This window comes from Homo sapiens, chromosome X (genome assembly GCF_000001405.40).
Source record: "Homo sapiens chromosome X, GRCh38.p14 Primary Assembly".
NCBI lineage: Eukaryota > Metazoa > Chordata > Mammalia > Primates > Hominidae > Homo > Homo sapiens.
In genome coordinates, this window is record NC_000023.11 from 132,419,143 (window position 1) to 132,443,742 (window position 24,600).

At 36.4% G+C, this 24,600-nt stretch overlaps 1 protein-coding gene and 1 long non-coding RNA gene across 26 annotated transcripts in view; one reads left to right on the forward strand and one right to left on the reverse strand.

Annotated features, from left to right (window-relative positions):
• The window catches only part of RAP2C-AS1 (RAP2C antisense RNA 1), a 214,305-nt gene extending 200,636 nt beyond the window's left edge, over window positions 1–13,669 (forward strand). Inside the window, exon 3 of the long non-coding RNA NR_110410.1 lies at window positions 10,671–13,669. This is a non-coding gene — a long non-coding RNA (RAP2C antisense RNA 1). The remainder of the gene's footprint in view (window positions 1–10,670) is intronic.
• The window catches only part of MBNL3 (muscleblind like splicing regulator 3), a 120,716-nt gene that overhangs the window by 49,823 nt on the left and 46,293 nt on the right, over window positions 1–24,600 (reverse strand). For 6 of the 25 annotated variants that reach the window (NM_001386898.1, NM_001386894.1, NM_001386892.1 and 3 more), the window contains exon 2: window positions 20,293–21,172. The exons of 14 other annotated variants lie outside the window; for them this stretch is intronic. In NM_001386898.1, the coding sequence (NP_001373827.1) occupies window positions 20,293–20,469 (177 nt within the window). In that variant the 5' untranslated portion in view covers window positions 20,470–21,172. Of the gene's footprint in view, window positions 1–20,292; window positions 21,173–22,256; window positions 22,426–24,600 lie in introns of those variants that run through there. 5 more of the 25 variants (NM_001386896.1, NM_018388.4, NM_001386897.1 and 2 more) reach the window with 5 other exon arrangements.

Here is a 24,600-nt window from a genome sequence, read left to right on the forward strand (position 1 = left end):
ATCTGTTAACACAGCTTTTTAGTAAATGTTTGCACAGTAGCATTTCGCTAGTTGGTTTGGGAGAAGCAATGTCCAATTATCAGGAGTTGGGTCATGAGGGCTTAAGCATAAACGGCCATGACTTGACAAAAGTAACAGTCCAGCAGTATCCCATGGAGATTGAGAACCGATAGAAGTAGGACTCAACAAAAGAGGTGGTCTGTGAACTTCATGACTATCATCACCTCCCTAAGAGAAGAATCTTTTAAAAACACCATAGTGCCATTCAGAAGCAAGTTTACTCAGATGACAAGTTGAGTGCTGTAGGTTCGACACTATCACAAAGCAGAGAAAGTCTCCAAATGATGAGAAAAGATCAACCTTAACACAAAATGGTACAAAGTGTTCTTCTGAAGCATTTCATTCCCCTAAGGACAAAGGCAAATGAGAACGCACATGAACTGCACACACCATTTCACAAAAGACTACCCCACCGAAAGCTCAGTTTCAGAGGAGGTTTTAGTTAAATGACCGTAAAGTAGATATATTTTGAGATACTGCAAAGTGGAGGTGAAGATCTGCGGCCCTAGGCACTAGGGTTTGACTTTTTCAGTGCTTCAAATGTACAAGTCATGTTTCTTTCTTTTCTTTTCTTTATTGGCAATTTATTTTTGGTTAAGCAAACATTATTCACAAAATAAAACTAAAGGGTTTCAAATACAAATTAATATGTGGCTGCATCATGTAAACATGCCAATAAAATAAACACAACAATTCTATTCTGTGATTTATCATTAGGTTTCTCCCCAGCTTTTTAAAATGAGAAGATCACCTGAGCCCGGGAGGCTGAGGCTGCAGTGAGCCATTGTTACTGGGGGTCCTTGTTCTTAGAGCTCCTAAGATGGTGGCCGGCCACTTCCAAGATGGTGGCAAGCCTCTTGTTCTCTGACCTGGGGTTCTTGGCCTCATGGATTCCAAGGAATGGAATCTTGGGCCATGCAGTGAGTCTTACAGTTCTAACAGAAGCCATGGGTCACAGAAGAGAACCGTGGAACCCAGCAACTAGTGTTCAGCTCGATTAGGACGAATCCGGGCACTAGCCATGCAGGAACAATGGCAAGCCTTTAGCCCGATCGGGAGCGGCAATGGGTGCCTCGCTGGATCAGGAGCGCAGCAGACACCCTGCCGGATCTGGAGGGGTGGAAGTCAGCGGCGGGTCTGCGACGGCGGCAAACAGCAGTGGTGGATGGCGAGTGAAAGCTCAGCTCAGGCCGTAACAAACATGGACCAGAAGAGTGTGCAGTAGCAAGATTTAATAGAGTGAAAACAGAGCTCCCATAAAATGGGAGGGGACCCAAAGGGGGTTGCCATTGCCAGCTGGAATGCCTGGGTTTATATCCCCATCATTGTCCCTCCCTCTGTGCTCTCAGGCGATAGATGATTGGCTATTTTTTTTAACCTCCTGTTTTTGCCTAATTAGCATTTTAGTGAGCTCTCTTTACTACCTGATTGATCGGGTGTGAGCTAAGTTGCAAGCCCCGTGTTTAAAGGTGGATGCGGTCACTTTCCCAGCTAGGCTTAGGGATTACTCGTCGGCCTAGGAAATCCAGCTAGTCCTGTCTCTCACCATGATCTTGCCAGTGCACTCCAGCCTGGACAACAGAGTGAGACCCTGTCTCAGAAAAAATAAAAAGTGACTAGACAACTGAAGATGCAGAATCCAAAAGTATACTAATAGTTCTAAAGACAATATAATAGGGAAAATAATAACAACAACACTGTTATATGAATCAACTGTTTCGGAAGCAGGTCACAGGCTGTTCATACTCTGTCCTCTAATGTATTTGTTCCCAAGAAGAAATGAATTTAAGTTTCAATAGGAACACAGTATTTTATTAGAAAGAGTGCTAAGCTGAGATTCAAGTGCCCTTAATTCTATTTAGTTTTAGATCATCGGTAAATTATTCTCCAATCGTGTTAACTTCTCTAGAAATAATTCCTGCCCCTACATACTTTCTAGGTGCTTTGAAAGAAAAAAGGAACAAAGTAAAATTTAGTCTGTTTTGCAAGTAAAATCAGTACAAAATGTAAAAAATATATTTTTCTTTATTAGTTCTTTACAACAGAACTAAAATATTTCCCGAGAATTAAGTATAATAACTTTGACAGATTATAACTACTTTAAATCATTCTACTTCCCTAAAAGAGGTAATATATTATCATAGAGTAATTACCAATTATATGAGTAATATAAATTACTATGTGCCTAGGGAGAGAATTTATATACGTATAATGTTAGGAAACTGAGGACACTTCTCTTATTAGAACTGGATATTATTGTCAAACAGTCGCTGTTCCCACAACTTAGTAGTATTCTAGGCGAAAAGGCAGAGGATAAAGGAAGCATATCCAAGCTTTAATCTCATCCTCGTAAATAACTAAAAGGAGAAAATAATTATTGCTTCTTTTCAAGTGGTAATAAGCCAGTGCCCACTTAGGAGACTAGTTTACCTAGTCAAGAGACACTCTTTTACCATCACAAGCTTCTTTAAGATTTAGCATAACGAACATCCACTTTAAAATCATAATGAATGAAACATTCAAAGTCATTTGTATTATATAAAAAAGCATGGAGCATCACACTCTAGTTGGTACTATTTTTATTCTAATTTTGCCATGGGTACTGTTATATTTTACTTATAACATATATTAAAATGATAACAAGAAAGCAGGCAAGTCATTTTTTCCTGGTAAGTTAGAAAGACAAAGCCAAATAAGAGACTATAAAAGATGTTAATGGTGCTTAAAATATTAAAAAAAAATTGTAGCGAAGTGATTTTAAATATCATTTAAATAAATTGGTAAAATAATAAAATTGAATCTCATTAGAAAACTGTTTATAAATGTTTGAGCTAATTTTTCATTTTTCTTATTTTTCATTTTAATAGGCTAACCTTATGGAAGTGAAGATTGACTCATATAAATGTGAAATGTCTGAATATACTATGTGTGTGTGTGTGTGTGTGTGTGTGTGTACATATACACACCCTTTTGTTCTCACAGTTGCTACATATGAAAATTTGAAGGTCCATGTGTGGCAGCTAGCAACACCTACAATACGCCTTTCAGGGTACAAAAAAGTCACTAATCCTTTCAAAGGGTTATAATAGTCAAATAATTAAAATAACTTCATTTCTTTTGGGTTCCACACATTTAGACACCAGCATGATTCTTGCCCAGTCACCTGTTATGTAGCATTCCATAAGTTTCTCTATGCTCCACAAAGATAGGGTTCTGTGATCAAAGGATTTACAGAAATTCTTGGGTTCAACAGAACTAAACTACACTAACACGCAGTTAACAGAACTAAACTGTCTTTCATGCAATACCTCTCAGAGCCTTTTCTCAGCTAAAAAGCATTGTGATGCTCCTTGGAGGGAAAATATAATAGGTCTCCCAAAGAAACATTAAGTCTTCCAGAATAGACATCATTTCCCTTCCAACAGATCTGAATATATATCAAGAAAGGGCCGTTTGAACAAGTGGTGAGGAAGGAGGAGGCATTAGAGGAACAACACAGAATCCTGAGAATTATGAAGCTTTGAAACATCATCCTTAATTGACACCCTGCTAAACCAATTATGGTTTTCTCTAAACTAATGGTTCCCAAACTTCAGTGTTTGCCAGAATTACCGGGAGAGTTTCTTGAAACACAAAGTGCCAGGCCTCCCCACAGAGTTTCTGATTCAGTAGGTGTGGGTGAGGTGATAATTTACATTTCTAAATGTGTCCAGGTGAAGTTGATGTTGCTAGTCTGCCACATTTTTGAGAACCCCTGCTCTAAGGGAATATTGTCCTATCCGACAATGGATTTAGTTATTTGCTATGCATTTTATTATGGTACTGATAATTCAGTTTCCAAAAGGTCATACTAAAGAAATTTGGACACCTTAATTCTACATCTCTGACATCAGTAATGATGTTAGCAGCCACGTAAAAGAAGGCCGGTCTAGGTCATGAAGAAGGATTGGCCTTCTCAAAATCTATTCTACTACTCCTAGGAAACACATTCATTTTCTGTTTACAAAGTAGGGCTATTAGTTATGATGGTAAGTATGTATATGAGAGCTCTGTATTGTATGTTGCTTACATTTGCTGTATAAACATTTCCAGAGTGTTTTCTAAATGTTTTCTGTGTACCCAAATTTGAACGAATAAAGGATTCTTTAAAAACTGCCCCTCAGCTCTCCAATAAACTCACACCTTTACTCACTACAGAAATCCCAATCATTTGAGAACATTACCCCTTCTCCTCACCCCTAAAAAAAACATACCTAGAAAAAGACAAGCTAAAAGGAGGAAAATACTTTCCAGATCGATTAGGCAAACAATTTAATGCTGACCACAGCATTTCAGCACAGATGATCAAAAGCCGAAGTATCAATAGATTACTAAACCTCAAAATAAGCACTGAATACAAGTTCATCAGTTGCACCCTGCAGCGAGGAAGTAAGGAAAAAACACATCTCATACAACCCTTTCTCCTTTTTTCCTAATGAAAAAAAGTAAACGTCTAAGGAGTTTCAAGTATTTGTTATTTATTCCTTTCTGTTTTACGAGTAGCCCCAGCTGCATCTGGTTTACTTCTGAGTATCACTGGAAGCCCATTTTAAACTGAGGCCCCCAGTTAACCATACTGGAATGCCTGGAATACATTAACATGTCCAAATGAAAATCACTCAGATAGCCTTATAAGCTGCAAATAATAAATGCAGAAATGGAATTAGCCCCTTCTCTTGTTGACTTGCTCTCTTACTACTTAGACAATTACATTCTTCCCAAAAGGCTTCAAAATGACCTTCAAGAAAGATATTTTTGAAGTAAGATTATTACAGTAACTGTAAAGACTGATATAATGGGAAAGGTGGAACAATGGAGATAATTGTATCAAAAACTTCAAAATTCTAGACTAAGGTTAATTGCTGCAGCTGGGCCCAAAAGGTAGCTGTGAGTTTTCTGGCAACACTAAATAGGAAAATGTACTGAATTGCATTTGCTCCTGTAGCCTGATAAAAGAAGGCATACTGTTTAATACCTCTCCTGCATAAAAGTAAAAACTGTGCTAGATACTATGGAAGAAATGAAGATTATGCCATGGAAACTGCCCACAAGGAGTTTACAAATCTTCTCTCTCCCATAACTAGAGGCATGAGTAGTTGTGCTGGTGGGGGACCTAGGACTTGACGCCTGCTTGGAGGTTGTGAACAGTGGGGAGATCAAAGGTAACTAGTGGTGCATGTTTAGTGGTGCTGTTGAAAATGAGGAAGAGCAAGTTCCATGGGGAGAATGAGACTTCTCTGGGCCATAATTAATCACAGCTATTCATTTTTGCTTCAACGAAAGCAGAGGAGTTTATAATGAAAAATATGCGATAAAAATGGCACAAACAATTCTCTCTTGGGGGTGGAGGAATCCCACTCTTCTATATTACCCTCTTTTCATGAGTATGTTACTCTATTCATTACACTTTCCTTATGTTTTTGTTACAAATACATTATTATTGGAGCTGAAGTATTTCAGAATGAAAAGCCTTTCTCAATGGGTGTCTCTTAACTTCTTTCTTTCTTCACCCACTCCCTCTCTCCCTCCTTTCCTCCTTCCTTCTTTCCTTCTGTTTTTTTTTTTTTAAATCTCTGACTTGGAAGCAATGTCACTTTTTAAAGGTATTTCTTTAGTGGGACAATAGGAAAATTTGGGGAGAAATAAGTGAAACATATTTAAATGTTTTATCATTTCAAAGATGAAGTAAATGTCACATGCCACTAAAGTGAGGCCTCAAGAATTGGGAAAAAGGGGGAGACAGTCTTGGTTCTGTTTTATCTGTCAGTTGCCTATTAAAATATGCTAGTCACAATTATGGAAATCATTGCCAAATGTTGACACCAGCTGAATGCTGCTAAATATTTAAAAATCATTTTAAGGTTTTGTTGTTGTTGTTGTTGAAACACTTTTCTCAAATGTTCCAGACACCTTCCCTGTTTTTGAAAGCAGAGTCAATTGTCCAAACCTGAATCATATCTTGGTTATTGAGGATTGCACCAAGACCTCAGGATCGCCTGTACAGAAAACCAGCAATCATTATCCAGGAATGGAGATGAACATGGAGAAAGTCTAAGAGACTGGGCTGACTGTACAAACTCCAAGATATAGTACATAAGCCTAGAGATCCTTTCTTAAACTTCGATATTGAAATTACTTTCCTATTATTTTTCCTATTTCTTTTAAAAGCATATTGCTTGGACTAAATTACAGTTATTGTGGGTTTTTTAAAAAGTGTCAATTCATGGACCCTCTCTATTATTATATTTCTTTGTCTTTCTATGTTCAAACTTTTTGGACTTTCAAAATGTCATTGTGTATTTAGAACAAGAGTTCTTTATTAAACTTTAAATATATATATTTTTGAACTAGGCAGTCACCTTTTTCCACAAAATCCCTTTTTGAAGATTATGAGCTTGTACTTGATTAGAATCACCTTATTAGCACTCATTATGCTTCCAAGAATACCTTGATTTGCAAGCTACCCATCTGCTGTAAAATTCAACTTCAAACATTTTAAGACAAAAAATGCTAGACCATTACTACATAATCACACTAATTATCTTAAAAATAACACTTAACAATGGCCACTAAGTAATTTTTTAAAAAAATCCGTATATAACGTAAAAGCACTGAAAATGTAACAGTTGGAGAATATCCAACAGCATTTAGCCAAATATCATTTCTATAATGCTAAGGGATGGAATTAAATTTGCAAATATCAGCAATTTGCAGGCCATCAAATCTAGGTTAAAATGTGGTTGAGTGAGGAAAGTTGGCACATGGGTGTATACAATTTTCATCTATATTTGAGTAAAAACTGAACTGGGAGTGAAAGTACAGCTGCAGATGAAGAGATCTCTGTGTACCTCTCAGTTGAGCCCATATTTATTCTCCCTCTTTCAAAGTGTTTCAACAATCTCATGTTTCATTCAACAAATATTTTTCCAAGCCCTAACGTGTACTAGGCACAAAAGATATGTTGGTGGACAAGATAGCATCTAATGCAAAACAAAACAAAAAGTATGGCAGACTTTCACTGCAACTTCAAAGAAATCTGATGTTAAGATGAGCACAAGGTCAGTAGGCTGGAGGGAAATATCCACTGCTTTCTACTTAACCATGTTGGCTTCATCTGCATCTCAATTCCATCGCTAGTTTTCCCTTCCCACCACCACCATCTAAATCAAAACCTTAATATTTCATACCTTCAATACTTCAACAACTTTCTAAGAGGTACTTCCTCTTGCCAGTCTCTTTTTTTCTGTCATTTTTTTTGCACAAGCTGATGGTGTCATTTCTCATGCTTCAGCCATTCTGACTTAACATTCAACTCCCCAAACATATCACAGTTTTCCCCCTCTATCTTTGCTCAGGTTATCCCCTCTGCCTGGAATACCTTCCTATTCCTTCTTCAAAGAACACCTCAAACAGTGTCTCTGCCATGACTCCATCTTCAACCACCACTGCTGAATATAATCCCAGTCCCTACCTGTGCCCTTGGACTGTTGTAGCTGTTAGTTTGTATCTGGCTTATGGCATATAACACAAGTAACCTCTTACTAAAAGGTCAGGCAAGAACCACATCTTTCCTAACTTTGTATTCTCCACATTACTGAGCCCAGTGCCTAACAAGTAAGAGGTTGCAATAAATGTTTGTTGAATGAATCATTTCTTTGGGGAATTGAATGTACATACAATTCTTAATGGATTTAACAGGACTTTCAGCATTAAATAACCCCTGACATTTATACAAATCCTTCTAGGAAACCACAACCAAATAGTCTTACAAATTCAGTGCTGCTGCTTGCTCTCATATGAAGAGAAACAGAGGTAGTAGGATTCCCATGACATAAGGAGCCCTTGTTAGAACTGTTATGTGTGACAAGGCAGCATTTTCGATGTTTATGCCACTTGCTGATAGAATGTTTCATTTCAGATATTTTCAGTGGTTACATCTAGAGTTCACCCAAGAAAAAGGTATTTTCCAAAACTACTTCTCAGGCTCCTTTGAAAAATGAGACAATATTCCAAAGTCAAATTCTTCCTACAGTGGGGTACTGGGAGATTAAAGATGGCTATGGTTTTAAAATTTGTTAGTAATACTGAAGTTAAGACTGAATTTGGTTCTATATAGAACACTTTTTTTGGTTAGTAAAAAAAGTAAAATAACCAGGAAATTGCAGAAACACTAGAGATTACATTTTTATAAAAGCTGGAAAAAATTAAGTTTGTTAAGTGGAACAACTCCTAGGATAGGTATTTGTGAAATATTTAAAACAAGAACACAGAGTACATGAAGCTATTAAAAATCCTCAAATTGTTACTTCGGTTTTACTATCTTTCACAAATGGGAAGATGAACAAAGATATTAAGACAATGTGACAATGTGGTCTTAAAACAATGTGGTTTTTAAAAATGAGATCTCTAAAAAGTATTTGGAGCTAAGAGATTATTGATACTACAATGTAATCTACTCACTGTATTTAGATGCATATAAAAGATGGTTAAAGAGTTTAAAGTCACAGAAAAAGGTTTTCTGTTTGCATTTTTGCACGCTAAGACAGAAATTAGAACATTACTACCGTTCCGTTAGCTAACAAATCATGGCTGATACATAGGACATGTCTTGTTTTTTGTCATATTTAATGGAATTAAAGGGAATTTGTCATATGTAATACATTTATATTACTGTGGACTTTACATTTTCAAATTTTTGTACAGTTTTCAACGTGGAAACTGCCTTCATTGTCCACTATCTACTCATAAGAATATAGGTAGAAGCAAAGCCTAATTTATTTTCTACCAATTTCCAGTGGGTTAAAAAAAATTTGAGCTTCAACAGAAAAAAAGCTTATTTATGATATACAAAAATCCAATTTAAGGCATACATTTAAATGCCTATGACCGAGTTATAGCTGCAAAACTGTTTCTAACAGATAGATTCTATAGCCATATCTACTTAACTAAATAACATATTAGACATGACATTAAGCAATTTTACATAATCTCATCATAAACAAGATACCGAAAAATGATTTACTCTATCTCTAGATACAACATGGTTCAATCCAAATACTGGAGATCATTTAGAAAATAAAAGGATGAAAAACAAATGGAATTGTTTACTGACTTTAAAGAAAACAATATCAAGAAAGATGGCAAAAAATGTGAGATAAACTTGTAATGACATCTAGCAATAAAACTTGACCCTGGGGTGAGAATTGAAGGCACAGAAACAAAAACATTGAAAACCCAAGCAGGACTGCAAATCTGGATTAGACATCAAAAATTAAAAAAAAAAAACCATAAATTTAAGAAACTGAAGACCGATTATGTAGCAGAATAAACACTGAAGAAAAAAAAGAGTATTTACAGAAAATAGCAGACAGCTAAGATTCCTCTGGAATATATAACCCCATAAGTCAGGGACCAAGTGACACACTGAGAGGAAAACAAGGGTCACCTCAAGGATGGTACATGCAGAAAGGTCATCTGCAAGGGCAAACAGAACAGTAAGTAAACAATGTTCTATGAATAATGTCATGTTCCTAGAAGAACTAATTGCTATTTCCGGATGCACAGAAGTACCTTGTATCCACATTTCGAAAAAATCTGATATAGAGAAAAAGACTTCATTTCAGCTATGCTACATGAAGAGATTATTTACTAACCAAGTAGGATCAGATGTATATTACCCTAACATCTAAGAGTTTCTTCTAGACAAAAGAGTTGAAATATAATAGTTTTCAAATTTCCAATTTCCAAATCTCTCCTACTTAATGGAGTTCCTGTAGCAAAGGGTCAGTATTAATGGTAACATCAAACAGTAGTTGGGGAATACATGCCTGGCCCTAGCCCAAGTCTTTTCTCACCAGATGCCCAATTACAACTTGGCCAGGAAGAGATGATTTTGAGCTATGATCCCATAAAACAACACTTTAAATAAGTTGGATTAGATTCCAAATTATTGTATAAAATACTTGACCCATAATAAGGCTGAATTGCTACTGCAATATTTCAGCTGATCTATGACAGGTTTCTTCCTAGCTGGCCAGGGCATTGTACTAATGAGTATATAACAGAATCAGACATCAATGAGTTTCATGCAGTGAAGATGTGATACACAGCCACAGTTACAATCCCCAGTTCTGGTCAGCAAACTCAACAATGCGGTGTTTGGGGAGAAGGATGGACAAGGGAGCAGAGACAGCTCAGTGTTCTGACACTCAGCAATTAAGCAAAGTTTAGTATCACAAAGTTAGGTAACTTTGTCTAAAAATTCTTCTCTTCTGCCTTATTTTCAAAACAAGTTATCCAAATAATTGTCCATGAACTAAATATGAAGGTTAATAAAGTCTTAATCTAAATTATCATGAATCAGAAACAATAAAAGAGGGAGGGATTAGCAAAGGAAAAGTTGGCTTATCCACGCCTTACTTTATAGTGCAAAAAGTAAAGGAGAACCAGAAAACTTCACAGACAGTCCCAATGTCATGTGGAGCAGCATGACTGTGATAAGAGCTGGATGCTTTTGGTTTACTAAAGCAATAGCCTAATTGATGTTCTCTCCATTTCCTTCTTCTCCACAGGAAAGAAGACTGAATAATGATTGGAAGAACGCCGGAGTCATCAAGCTCTTTTGATAACTGCATATGTGAACTAGGTCAAGTCACTCTCCCTCAACGGATCACCAGTTTACCCAACTGTAAATGGCAACAATTTTGAACTGAACGTTCTTCCTTCTACAGCCAAAATTCTTCGTTTGCTAGGTTTGTGAAGTGCTTTTATATGTATGAGCGCTTTCTTAACTATGAAGATATCTGAGTCATCGAACTTTTGGTGGGGGCAATCTCATGATCAGTCATGACTAGATTTTAGAGTTTTCTCATCCCCATACTCAAAGTTTTTTTTTTAAGAATAAAAATGAAAAGAAACAATACCCCACAATATTTCTGAGCCTCAAAGGACAGACTAAAAAAGCTAACTTTTAAAATACTTCATTTTGAAATAATTTTGAACTTACAAAAAAATCGCAAAAATAATACCTGGAGTCCCTGTATACCCTTCACCCAGATTCCCCTACTGTTAAATACTTACATAACCATAACACAATTACCAAAACCAGGAAATTAACACTGGTACGAGACTCTTAACAAGAGATCTTATTTGAATGTCACCAATTTTCTTCCTAATGTTCTTCTGTTCTAGGATCCAATCCAGGTTCCCACATGGCATTTATTCCTCACTTCTCCTTAGTCTCCTCCAATCTGTGACACTTTCTAAGTCTTTCCTTGTCTTTCATGACCATGACACTTTGGATGAGTACTGGTCATTTATTCTGTAAAATGCCTCTCACTTTGTGTTTGTTGAATGTTTTCTCATGATTAGACCGAGACCATGTCTTTTTGGCAGGAACATCACAGAAATGGTGTGTATCCTATCTGAGGGTATGTGATATTGATATATCTTATCACTCATTATGTTAACCTTAAACACCTGGTTAAAGTGGCATCTGCTGGGTTTCTCCACTGTAAAGTGACTATTTTCCCTTTATTTATTTATTTTAGAAACAGGGTCTTGCTGTGTTGCCCAGGCTGGAGTGCAGTGGCACAATCACTGCTCACTGCAGCCTCAATCTCCCAGGCTCAAGCGATCCTCTGCCTCCTGAGTAGCTGGGACTACAGGCATGCACCATTATGCCCAGTTAATTTTTTTAAAAATGTTTTGTATAGACAGGGTCTCGCTATATTGCCCAGGCTGGTCTCAAACTCCTGGCCTCAAAAGATCCTCCCACCTCGGCCTCCCAAAGTGCTGGGATTAAAGGCATGAGCCAGCCACCATGCCTGGTCTATTTTTTATTGATAAATGAAATAGACCATGCCTGTTCTATTTTTAATTGATAAATATCCTGGGAGAAATACTTTGGGACAATGCAAATATCCTGTTTCTCCTCCAACTTTTACCCACTGATTTCAGCATATATCAGTGGATCTTGCCTGCAACCATTATTACCATGGCATTTGCCTACTAGTGATTTTGTGTTTCCTTCATTTGTTCTCCATTTATTAATTGGAATTCTTCTGTAAGGAGGAGTTGTCCCTTCTCCCCAACTTATCCATTTATTCAATTTTTTTTGTAAACTATGGACTCATGGGCATCTATTTTATTCTATGAGCTATAATTCAATACTGTCATCATTTAGTTTCTTGCTCAAGTTATTCTAACTTCAGCCATTGGGAGCTCCTTCAGACTGGCTACTATGCTGTCTTGTCATGCCCCCACCCTTTCTCTAGCACTTTCTTACATTCTTACACCAAAAGACATTACAGCCTCATCTTGTATTTTCCCTGCTTCTGTCCAGAATTAGCCATTATTCCAAAGATCCCGAGTTCCTTTATTGGAGAATGATATTAGACACAAAGATGTGGGTACTAAGTATACTCGTTGCTGTTGGGGTGTTAATTGCTTCTAGGGCTTCCCAAGACAGAGCTAGGAAATGAAAGCATACATAATAACCCATGCATACACACAGATCAATATCTATTCCTGTATCTATCTGTATACATACTCATGTGTCCTTTCTAATCCACACCACGGTATTCATCCTAACCTTCCCTTTTTATTTTTAACTTTTTTCCTCTGATAGTGAGAAAATAGGCTCTCATTATCTACTCTATATACATTTATTTGTTCAACCTCAGTATCTACATACTTACATATGCCTGTGAGGAACAGATTTACTAACTAGAATCCTGTATTTGTGTGCAATTCTTTTTATCTTTATTATAAATATAGCACCTCCAGGCTTCTTTTTATTAGTGTCAGCATGACATAGCTTTTCCCATCTTTTTACTGTTAATATTTTAAACTCAAAAAAAGCAAGGAGGAAAACAGTATGCTACTATCTGTGTGAAAATGGAAAATAAGTATGGATATATTTGCTCATATGTATATATATAATATCTATGGGAGAGGGAAAACCAAAATATCAGTTTGGAGGTCAACTGATTAACTGGGGAAAAGAGATGAGGGGAAAACTTCGCTGCATACTCTACTATCGTTGAAATTTCTTAAACTTTTTCATTGAGTATAATTCACAAATCATAAAACTCACCCTTTTAAAGTCTACACATCAGTAGTTTTTAACACATTTATATACAAAGTTGTGTAACTATCATCACTAATTCCAGGACATTTTCATCACCCTTAAAAAAAAAGCCATGTACCCATTAGTAGTTAATTCCCATACCCCTCACCCCTCACTCACCCATCTACTGCCCTTCACAAGACCCTGGCAACCACTAATCTGCTTTCTGTCTCTATGGATTTGCCAACTCTTGATGTTTCATATAAATGGAATCACACAATATGTGACCTTTTATGTCTGGCTTCTTTCACTTAACATCATGTTTTTAAGGTTCATCCATGTTGTAGCATGGATCAGTACTTTGTTCCTTTTTGTAGCTGAGTAATATTACATTGTATGTATATACCATATTTTGTTGATGTACTCATTAGTTGACTGTTTTTCTAAATTTTTGAATTATGAAAATATCCATTCAAAAATTAAACTTTAAAAAATAGAAACAAAATGAAAAAGCCCTTCTCATAAAAAACAGAAAAATGTAAAAAAAAAAAATCAAGCAAATAATGTATGAAAAATAACAACATACAGAAAAGCTTCTTTGACATTTGCCAGGACTCACAGACTCAATAGCAACTTACACTCGCAACTAAAATTTATTACAGCTTGGAATACAGAGGAAAAGTAACAGGAAAAATATACGTATCAGTAGAATCAAGAGAAGCCCAGCACAAGCTTCCAATGTTCTTCCTAGTTCGAAGCCACATGCACAAGGACTCTCTCTCTCTAGCAGCAAACTACAGAGGCATGTATGGAATGTCTCCACCCTGGGAAGCCCAGTTCTAGTCTCAAGGTCTGAGGTGCAGATGGGTCCTGGTCACATATGCACAGCCTGCTACCAACTGGCCATGGCAACTGTAATGCAGGACCCTAACAATGAATCAGTCATCAATCTTGATCTTGAGCAAAGCAACCCTGACAAGCTGTTATGGCATGGTCCATTGTTCCAGGTGTATACAACACAATAACCAATCAGTGACAAAATGAATGGTGGCCACATTCCCAGGGGATAGTTAAGGTTTCCCTGGGAGACATGCAAAGAGTAAGCCACCAAACCTGCTATATTAACTCTTTCCTCACATGAGATTTCTTTATTGCTAATTCCCCATCACTGGGGTATGAACTGGAGTTGAGGTACAAGTCACAGAAATAAGGGAGTGAAGAATAGGGATTGGGCACCATTTGACTTCTACTTCACCTATAAACAGGAGTTATTTGTCTTCGTGGAAATTATTCTCTTTTCCACTTAAAAAATATAAAGACTAGACACCTCTGCTTTGTGTGGGCTTGCTTTCCCCCGATTATGTCAACCTTTCCAGCTCCTGGAACAGGATCCAAAGTCCTCAGCATGATACACAGAGCCCCACCTGATCTCCCCACCCCCGGGACCTCCCTGCCCTCATCTCCCACTGCCCTCCCCCTTCATGGCTCTGCTCCAGCCACGCTGGGGATCTTGAGTTTCCTCACACACACCAGGCTGCCGCCAGCTTCAGGGCCTTAGCTGTCGCCATTCTCTTTGCCTGGAATGTTCTTAGAAATCCTCTTCACTGTCCCCTCATCTCCTGCATGCCTCTCCTCAAAGGTCACCTCACTGGAGGCCTCCTGGCCACTGTATCTAAAACAGTAGCCCCTGCCATTCTCTGCACCCTTTCCTCACACCTGACAATGTATTGTTATCCTGAATATTTAATTATTTTTTACCTGCTCCTCCTCCAACTCCCAATGAGAATGTCTGCACCATGGAGGCAGGGACTGTTTCTGGTTCACGGCTAAGTCCCAAGGCCATGAACAAGAAGGGGACAGCTGTCACACTCTGCAGTAGTATATGATAGGCACACACATATCACATCACTTCTAGGACTGCTCACTCTCCAGTGTTCTGTCTTTCCAGTGGCTTGTTGCTGCTATTTTCTCTGTCATGCTCTTGGTCCATTTTCCCTTGCTCTCTTTCTTAATTGACTATAATTATAGAAGTACATTACCAATCACTTCTAAGATGAACACTTGTTCACTTTTTAACATCTAGGACATTGGGATGCCCATTACGATCAATGGCATATTGTAGGGGATGATGAATAAATGGGGGACATAGTTATCAGTTTTTACAAAAGAAAAACTGGTCATGTTACAGTGGAGAAATCCAGTAGATGCCACTTGAACCAGCTAATTAAAGTTAACATAATGAATAAGATATATCAATATCCCATACCCTCAGATGTCATGCACATCATTTCTGCGTGTGGGTTTCTTTTTTATTTGTCAAAACCACATGATCTCAGTCTAATCATGAGAAAACATTCAACAAGCACAAGGTGAGATGTATTTTACAGAATAACTGACCAGTATTCATCCTAAGTGTCATGGTCATGAAAGACAAGGAAAGACTGGGAAAGTGTCACAGGTTGGAGGAGACTAAGGAGATATAAGGAATAAATGCCATGTGGGATCCCAGATTGGATCCTGGAACAGAAAAATAACATTAGGAAGAAAATTGGTGACATTCAAATAAGGTCTTGAGTTTACTTAAGAATCTTGTACCAGTGATAATTCCCTGGTTTTGATAACTGTGCAATGCATGGCATGTAAGTTGTTGACATTAGGGGAATCTGGATAAAAAGTATACAGGAGTTTCCTGTATCACTTTTGTAACTTTTCTGTAAGCCTAAAATTATTAATATTTCAAAATAAAATGTTTAAAAGGCGAGGCTGAACTATCAATATGTATTTGTTTGGGTACCATTAGGTCGGTGCAGAAGTAATTGCAGTTTTTGCCATTGCTTTCATGGCAAAAAACACAATTACTTCCGCACCAACCTATAATTGTAATTCTATTTTCCTTTCAAAAGAGGTTTTTGAAATGTCCAAAATAGCATTGACTTTTACCAGTCAAAGATACTTCCCTTTAAAGGTTAGCATCATAGAAAATAGAGATCCTTAAATAAAATGTTATTTTCCTTGACTCTCAAGATGACAGCTGCTGCTTATGTGTCTTTATAGTGTAGACAGACCTCTCTGATGGAGCTGATAAATGGTGCTAAGTCTTGCATAATCCAGTGACCCTTGGGATTGTGTTGCTAGGCATCTAGTTTCTGGTAAACTTTCCCTTGGCAAATAGGGATGAGTAAGTATTCAGTCAAAAATAGTCAAATTTTAAACTAATGAAAACTGCTGTGACTAGTGTTGCTATTGCAGAATATACTGGTAACTTGGGCCAGTTTGACCTACAAGGATAGATTCATATCGATATGCTTATAATATTTGACAAGGTTTCACTTGTCAAAATATTATTTTTCTCGTGATCATATGTGATTTTGAAGACATGGCATGTGACTGTTTTATGTGCATTCCTTACCCAGTTCCCATTTTTTAAGGAATGTATATAGGTTAGCTTGAGTATCCTCTAACTATGTCTGCTGCTATGGCCTTTACCAGGAAATTCTTGGCACAAAACTACCCAAAGTGGTAAGAGGGGTGGACAGTTGTGATGGGTGTTGATCTGTCATAATGAAATAATGACAACATTTATATCCTTCCTGGATAAAAAGTGACTGATAACACATTGCTTCAAGTATAAAGGGAAAGGTTCAAGACATCATGATATTGCTGAAGCAGAATAACTTGGCTATGAAAACAATCACAAAGATTGATTTCGTTTTAAAAATGATGACCCTTCGTTAAATCCAAGGAACATTCACTAAAAATACCAACCTAGATCAATGGCAAACTGTAATATCAAGAAATTGGCATAGAATGGATTAAGCGATACTTTGAAGAAAACTTTGGAGACAGATTATGCCAAGTCCACAAGGCAACAGAGTCAAAAACAGCTGCATACCAACATGATATGAGACCATTCTATGTAGCTGGAAATTAATCCATGGACTACACTAGATTTCCATTTGAAGATGGTGCTGCCTTCATCACTGAGCACTCAACATTCATGGATTGATAGGCACAGCACTTCAGCACAATACACAATCAGCCATCCAATTTGCCCTTCTTATTTTCATAACATTCCCTCATTATGAGGTGAGTTAGAACATTGTATCTGTTGTACCTGTTATTAAGGCAATAACCATCATCTGGTAGAGTAGCTAGTACTAATAGAATTCTTACACAACAACAACAAAACAAAACAAAAACAAAAGCAGCAGCCCAAAACTCATCAAATGATTGTTTCAGTTATTTAATCACTCATGAGAGAAGAAATAGTACACAGATGAAGTTCAACAGTGTTTCAATTATAAAAACTCAGGAGAAGTAGGAAATGCTGCAGTAACCACTGAGGTATGTTATTTGTATATTATAGATATGATACTAGCACAATGCACATAGGTCAATTACCCTCAACTTAATTTAACCTTCATGCATGTCATGGATAAGAACTACAAAGCTCTTGTGCAGACATGGAACTTTGTTTAATGTGCTATCTAAATGGCAAATTAAGTAATTGTTTGAACGGCTTTACATATTTGAAATATTAAGGTTTTCACTAAAATATGAGAATGTAAGGATTATGTAAATCATCTTTACCCTGTGTGACTGGTCATCAGGATATTAACATGATGCAAACATTACTTTAAAAACACTAGATACAGTGAGTAGACAACTTATTTAAATAATTAAGTGGCTTATTAATATTCATTGGCTATTATCTATTTTGTCTCTGAATTAAACACCTTCCAAGCTCTAAAGTTGTAGTGCAGCACGCATTTTGTAAACAGTCACCTTCCCTAGTACTTTTCTTCAAAATGTTTAGTTTATGGCACTCTTTTGCCTTTAAATGGAATTACTGACCTGAGTTTATTAATGATTAGGAAGATCACATGTCTCCTTTCACATTCTATGATGTTTGGAAAGATAGAATTTACAAAGCCTGCAAGGAACTCTATATCAGAGTAACCATAAAAACAGTTATACTTAGCTTGAACAACTAATAACACACAGCAACTAGATTTGGTCATGTACATTTGGAACATGAGTTTGTAATTTTAAATAATAAGCCCTAACTAAATAGAACTTTGTTAAAGAATGCCTACAACAAACATTTAGTTGATAGGAAGAAAACCTTTTATTTAATTCACTTTTATATTGATATATGGTTTTCCATTTGTACTAGCTTACTGCAATCTCCACAATAATCACAGAAGTTAGGTACAGAAGATACTATCTATCTGTTACAGATGAAGTTACTCAAGGATTGTGAGGTTAAGTTGCCCGAGGTCAGATACAGTAGTGAGGCTGGGACTGTACCCCAGATCTCCTGAAACAACAATGCAAAGTTTCTACTGCAGTTCCTGACCCTCTATATGGACCAGATGAAAGATACCTCATTTTTCCCCCAACTAACTCAGTATGCTTTTCCACTTCAAGGCACTGCCCAATCCTGTAGCTGCAGATTTAAATAATACACAAAATAATTGTAGATGAAACTTAAATGAAACCAAAATGAAGAAAACAAAATAAGTTCTTTAGTCATAATGTCTACCACAAATAAAAGCAATTCAGAGATTTTCAATGGTAGGAATTACCTTTATCTTTACAATAACAAGTTTCTATTCTTAAAATGGAATGGTCTGCAAAAAAAAACAAAAAACAAAAAACTAGTAATCACGAAATAAGTAAAAGTAACCCTTTAAGTACTACAGGTTAAGCATCTTTAATCCAAAAACCTGAAGTATAAAATGCTCCAAAAGCCTCAACTTTTTAAGTGTCAACATGATGTCACATGGGTGGCTGAGATAATGACGCTTTTGTTTTCTGATAGCTGAATGTACACAACTTTGTTTCATGCACAAAATTATTTAAAATATTGTATAACATTACCTTCAGGCTATGTGTAAAAAGTGTATATAAAATGTAAATGAATTTCATGGTTAGACTGGAGTCCCATCCCCAAGATATCTCTTTATGGATATGCAAATATTCTAAAATCCAAAAAATCGAAAACACTTTCAGTCTCAAGCATTTCAGATAAGAGATACTTAACCTGTATATCGCTTAAGAAAATGTTTCCTGAGGAAACCATCACACGAAGGGATACATCTCTGTTAGCCAATGCAGCCATAAATAAAAATGTTAATGAGGTAAAATTGGTCATGATGAAGGTAAAACAATATCAAGAAACTGAAAAAGTTCTTGTTAAGCTTAATTCATTTTGACATATTTTGAAAAAAGTCTCAGATGCATTGTAGCAAATCTTAATTAAACCAGAAATCCATTATAATTTATTGCTTCTATGTTTTAATTTATACTTTTTATCCTTAATTTAAGGATAACTATGAATAACACATGAAAATCAGTGCATTTTCTTTTTCTGCAATCATATACATCCTGTCCTATATAATACCTCATCTGGCCTCATATTTTGTTTATAATCTAGTATGTAATACTCAGGCTTGATGACCTTAGTAATAGGACTTTCCTTACAAAATATACTCACAAATCTGAAATTGGTCAATCATCTGTCCAGGAGGAAAATTAAGTGAACCTAGTTTTGTAGCAATACGTTTAAGTTAAAGGTTCAAAATATACTTTGAGACGCTTCAAAATGCCATAATTTTCCTTCTGGAACCCTTATACTCCCTCAGTCTGACTTTAGTTATCCTCTGAAAGCTGACAAGTCCCTCCTAAGTGCATTTTGGTACTATGGATAATATGCTATAATTCAGTGAAGGGCTTCTCTAGGTTACATGGGGATTATGATCACTGTAACATCTAAATCATATACAAAAAAGTAAACGATAGCAAGGCTACAATCCCTCACTCCTACAAAAATTCTTCAATTTTTATTCTTTAAGTATATCTGTTTTGATAAGTGGTAAGTGGTCTTTGGTGGAATGAGCTTTAGACTTGGCTTAGCTCTACAAACACAAAGACTTAAGACATTTTGTCGTTAAGACATTCTGACTTTAAGACCTTCTATCTTGACATTCTGTTTTTTTGTTAAAAAAACAAAATTTATCACTTTCATGCTATTATTAATTTTACTCATTTCAAAGCACATCATATTTCAAAAAACATAGAAATCAACAAATTTAAATTATGTGCATTCAGATGGGACTCACCTTTAGAGAATCAAAACAGGCCACCACACGACCATTTTCCACATGGCAAACTCTTGGTGGATGGGCAAACTTGCAATCTGCATCAGCTCGAGAGCAAGTTCCTCTCTGAAATTCTCTACAGACTTCTAAAGTCAGCCACTTGGTATCACGAATCAGGGCAACATTGACAGCCGTCATATTGAAAGCAAAATTAAAATCCAATGTACCCTCTTTAGGACAATATTACTGTGGACTATTAAAGGATTAAAAATGAATTCAAACTAAGTGCGAAGAGATAACAGGTTGCTTTGGTGAAATGTCTATTTGTTAACACTTAGGTTTTCATTAAAGTCAAATCTGGTCTAGTCAAACAAAAAGCCAATCATAAAAACTATCAGAATAACTAAAAATGAAATTAGAGACCAACTCTTAAGAAGCCAACTGTTAAGATAATGAATGCTTTATTTTGTTCCTTTGCCGAATTTATGTTAAATAACCGGCAGACTTTCAAAAGAATTCTGGGCTCTGCAGTTGATGTTTTCAATTATTCTTGCAAAAAACATATGCTGCTGGCTGCCCTTCGATTTGTGGAATGGTCTCAGATCAGGGGGAGAAAAGTTTTTCTCCCTATTTATTAGCTTTAAATAACAAGATTGGGAAGGATGTTAGAACCCAAAAAAAGTTTCGTTGCAAAATCAAGTGGAGGGAAAATGACTAAGAAAATTGAGAATCACAGAAAAAAGAAATGGACCAGCTGCTGACAGTAAACTACAAGCACACCAGGTTCGGCGGGGAGGTGGAGAGGGCAGGGAACGGTATGGTAGGGAGAGGGGTTTATAAAGAGACAGCTCTAGAGTAGAATCCAAGCAGCAGAGTTTTCAGAAAAGGCACTTTTCAGAACCTGCAAGAAAAAAATAAATAAAATTAGCTAAAATAATACAATGCTTCCGTTTCAAACTCTAGATTTGGAAAAGAAGTAACTATATCCTATTTAAAACAGGAAGCATCTAGATACTGACAGTGCAACATAGTACAGTCAGCCATTGTCAATAAAAAGGGCATTTCCCAGTATAAAACTGTATAGTAAAAGCAAGCAACTGCTTAGATTTACTGTTGTAGTACAAGACTAGGCAACAACCTCACATGAGGTGGGGTGGAGGATGGAAACGTAAAATGTGCTTCAGATAAAGAAAAAAGTCATCTGAAAAGATTTTTTTTTTTCTGTGTAGGCTCCTTAGTCTCTATGAAGGGAAATTGGAGCAACTCAGAAGAAGGTTTCAGCATATACAAACAAGTGAGACAGAATGTGCTGTTTAATGAAATAGATTAAATATTATGCAGCTTTAAAGTATGCAGTTTAACTCAGTGTGAACCAGCTACAATTTCTAGCAACAGCTGAGAAGATACAGGAAAGGTTAATTTATTGGCATATGCCATAAACACATACTGAAATAGCATTAACGCAAAAGTGAGCTCTGAGTATTAGAAAAATCAAATAACTGTTAACTTCATCAAAAAGTGAGATTAAAGTTCTTAAAAATATTTCATTTAATTTTTTCAACAATATTTTCAACAATTTTACAAAATCTAAATCTTCTCTTTGTCTTTTCCATATTCAAGATGCAATTAAGTATCACCTGACTTTTCAAATATCATTGAGAAATTAAATACCTAGAAAGTTCAAGCAAGCTTATCTACTCAAGAGCAAAACATGTTTTTCTCTGAGTCATTCTTCATGGAAATCATTCTAAAATGTATTCTGTGTAACTTTGCCTTCTTAAAAAATATCAAACATAATTTGGCCTCTAATTAAAGACTTGGGACCATTAATGTATTAGGAAGTATAATAGTTCTCCTCTTTAAGTGGCAGACTGTTGTCATATCCACTGTCACTTCTCTGTCACAATATCTACCACAGTGAATTTTCCAGCTCTCTTCCAAAAAACCTAATAGCCAGTCATGAATGTTGAATAACAATTAGTTACCCACTGAATGAGGGGCCTGTGGAACAAGATGCAGAGCTTTCTTGCAGAAGTTCTATGACTGCTCTTACTTCTATGCAGGCCCTTCTGCATCAAGTTACATGCAGGACCATGTTCTAGAGCGTTGAAGTTGCAGGCAAATGACTTCTAGGAAAAGTATTTTAAAAATAACCTGATGATAGAAATGCAAAACAAAATCACAATGTGATGACCACTCTCATTAGTCTAACTATAATTTTAAAAACAGAAAAATTGGAGAAATTTGAACCCTCATACATCGTGGCTGGGAATATGAAATGTTGCAGTTGCTATGGCAAACTGTCTGACAGTTCCTCACTTCCGCAACTCAGTATATACCCAAAGTATCTGAAAACAAGTGATAAAGAAATCCTCCTACATGAATGTTCATAGCAACACTATTCATAATAGCCAAAAGTGGAAATAACCTAAGTGTCCATTACCAGATGAATGGATAAACAAAATGTGGTATATCCACACAATGGAATGTTATTTGGCCACAAATAGGAATGAAGGACTGATGCATGCTACCAGAAGGTTGAACCTTGAAAACATTATGTTAAGTGAAAGAACTCTGTCACAAAAGGCCACATATTGTATGATTCCATTTATATGAAACGTTCAGAGTAGCCAAATCTACAGAGACAGAAGGTAGATTAGTGGTTGCCAGGGGATGGGAAGAGGGGATAAGGGCGAATGACTGCTTAATGGGTACAGAGTCTCCTTTAGGGGGTGATGAAAATGTTTTGGAATTAGATAGTGGTGATGATTGCATGATTTTTGAAATACCATAACCCAGTCACTGAATTGTACACTTTAAATAGATGAATTGGGTAATATGTGAATTACATCCCAATAAAGCTGTTATGTATTTTTTAAAAAGTCTAAAGAGACATGACAATCAAAAACAGCCTGACTAGTGATGGGATTAGCTATCCCAAGCTTTCTGAGTTTCTCCTTAGCCAGAGATTTTTCTCAGTAGTGTTACTAAGTTGAATTTCAAGAGTAAATTCATTTCCACACTGTAACTGACTTAATGTATTATGAAAAGTACTCTGAAAGAGTATGATATTCCAACCTAATCCCACAACCCAATTATATAGTCTGCCTGAACACATTTGGAAGGAAAATGACAAAAAAGATCTATCTATCTATACAAGATCTGCTCAAAACATAAACAGTGAGGGTCTGGAGACTTTTTCTACAGAGGTCCATCAAGTATAGAAACATAATAAATGATACATGTGAATTCTGAACTTTTACAAATGAAAACTGCAAAAAAGAATTGGCTTCTGGCCATGCATTTTATTCAGAGATAGGGGAAGAAGGAATTTTCTTTTTTCTTTTTCTTTTTAAAAATTTTGGCCTGTAACCTATGATGAAGCCCTGGCCAATTCTTCAAAGCATTTCTAGCCACCACATGTCTTCCTTCAGACTGGAACTATTTTAGCGGCTGACTCAGAAGAAACTAAGTGCAACACTCAAGGGAGCTGGCGCAAAGATGGGGAGAAGTTCTCTCATGCAGCTCTGTTTGTCTATGTATAAAAGACAGGGAGAAGTGTCAGTTGTCTCTGTATTCTTAAGATCAGTTTTGTTTTGGGGATAATACAGCTTTATCTTCACTTCCTTAGACTTAAGTAATAGGAATACAGTTCTGCTTCTTAAGATTTATAGTCCTCTAAAGCAGAACATGAAAAGTTACCATTTCTTAGTGCATTTGTACTTTATTGTACTTGCAGGTTTACAAGTGCTTGTATTTCATTGATGTTTCGATCTCTCAAAAATATTCTAAAGCATAAGTGATAACCCAAAACACTGATGACTGAAATGAAGCTCATAGAGGTTAAATTACTTATTCGAAGTTACAAAGCCTGGTGGTAGAGCCATGACTCCAGGCAAGATCTTCTGACTCCAAATCTCATGCACAGATTCTAGCTGAGAAATGTCATAGATAGCATTGCTTATCTCTCCTGGGAATCTTAAACAAGAGAAACCTGTCATTTTTGTAGAGTACTTATGGTTCATTCTCAGAATTACATTCATGCCTGATGTATCAACATTTTCATAATCTCCGTAAGTTGTGCTCAACCAACATTTATCTAGCATCTACTATGTGCCAGGCATTGTTCTAGTTACTGAACAAGACTTGATAAGGTCCTTGCTCCCGTGGAACATGCTATGCTCATTTAAATAGAGAAGTAACTTGATGTACAAGGAAATGAAATGAGTATTAGAATTTATGAAGAGCTGGAAGTAAACACTAGGAATTCTGACTTCAGTACAAACTTCTAACTCACCATGAATGATACACCAAGCACTATGATTTAAG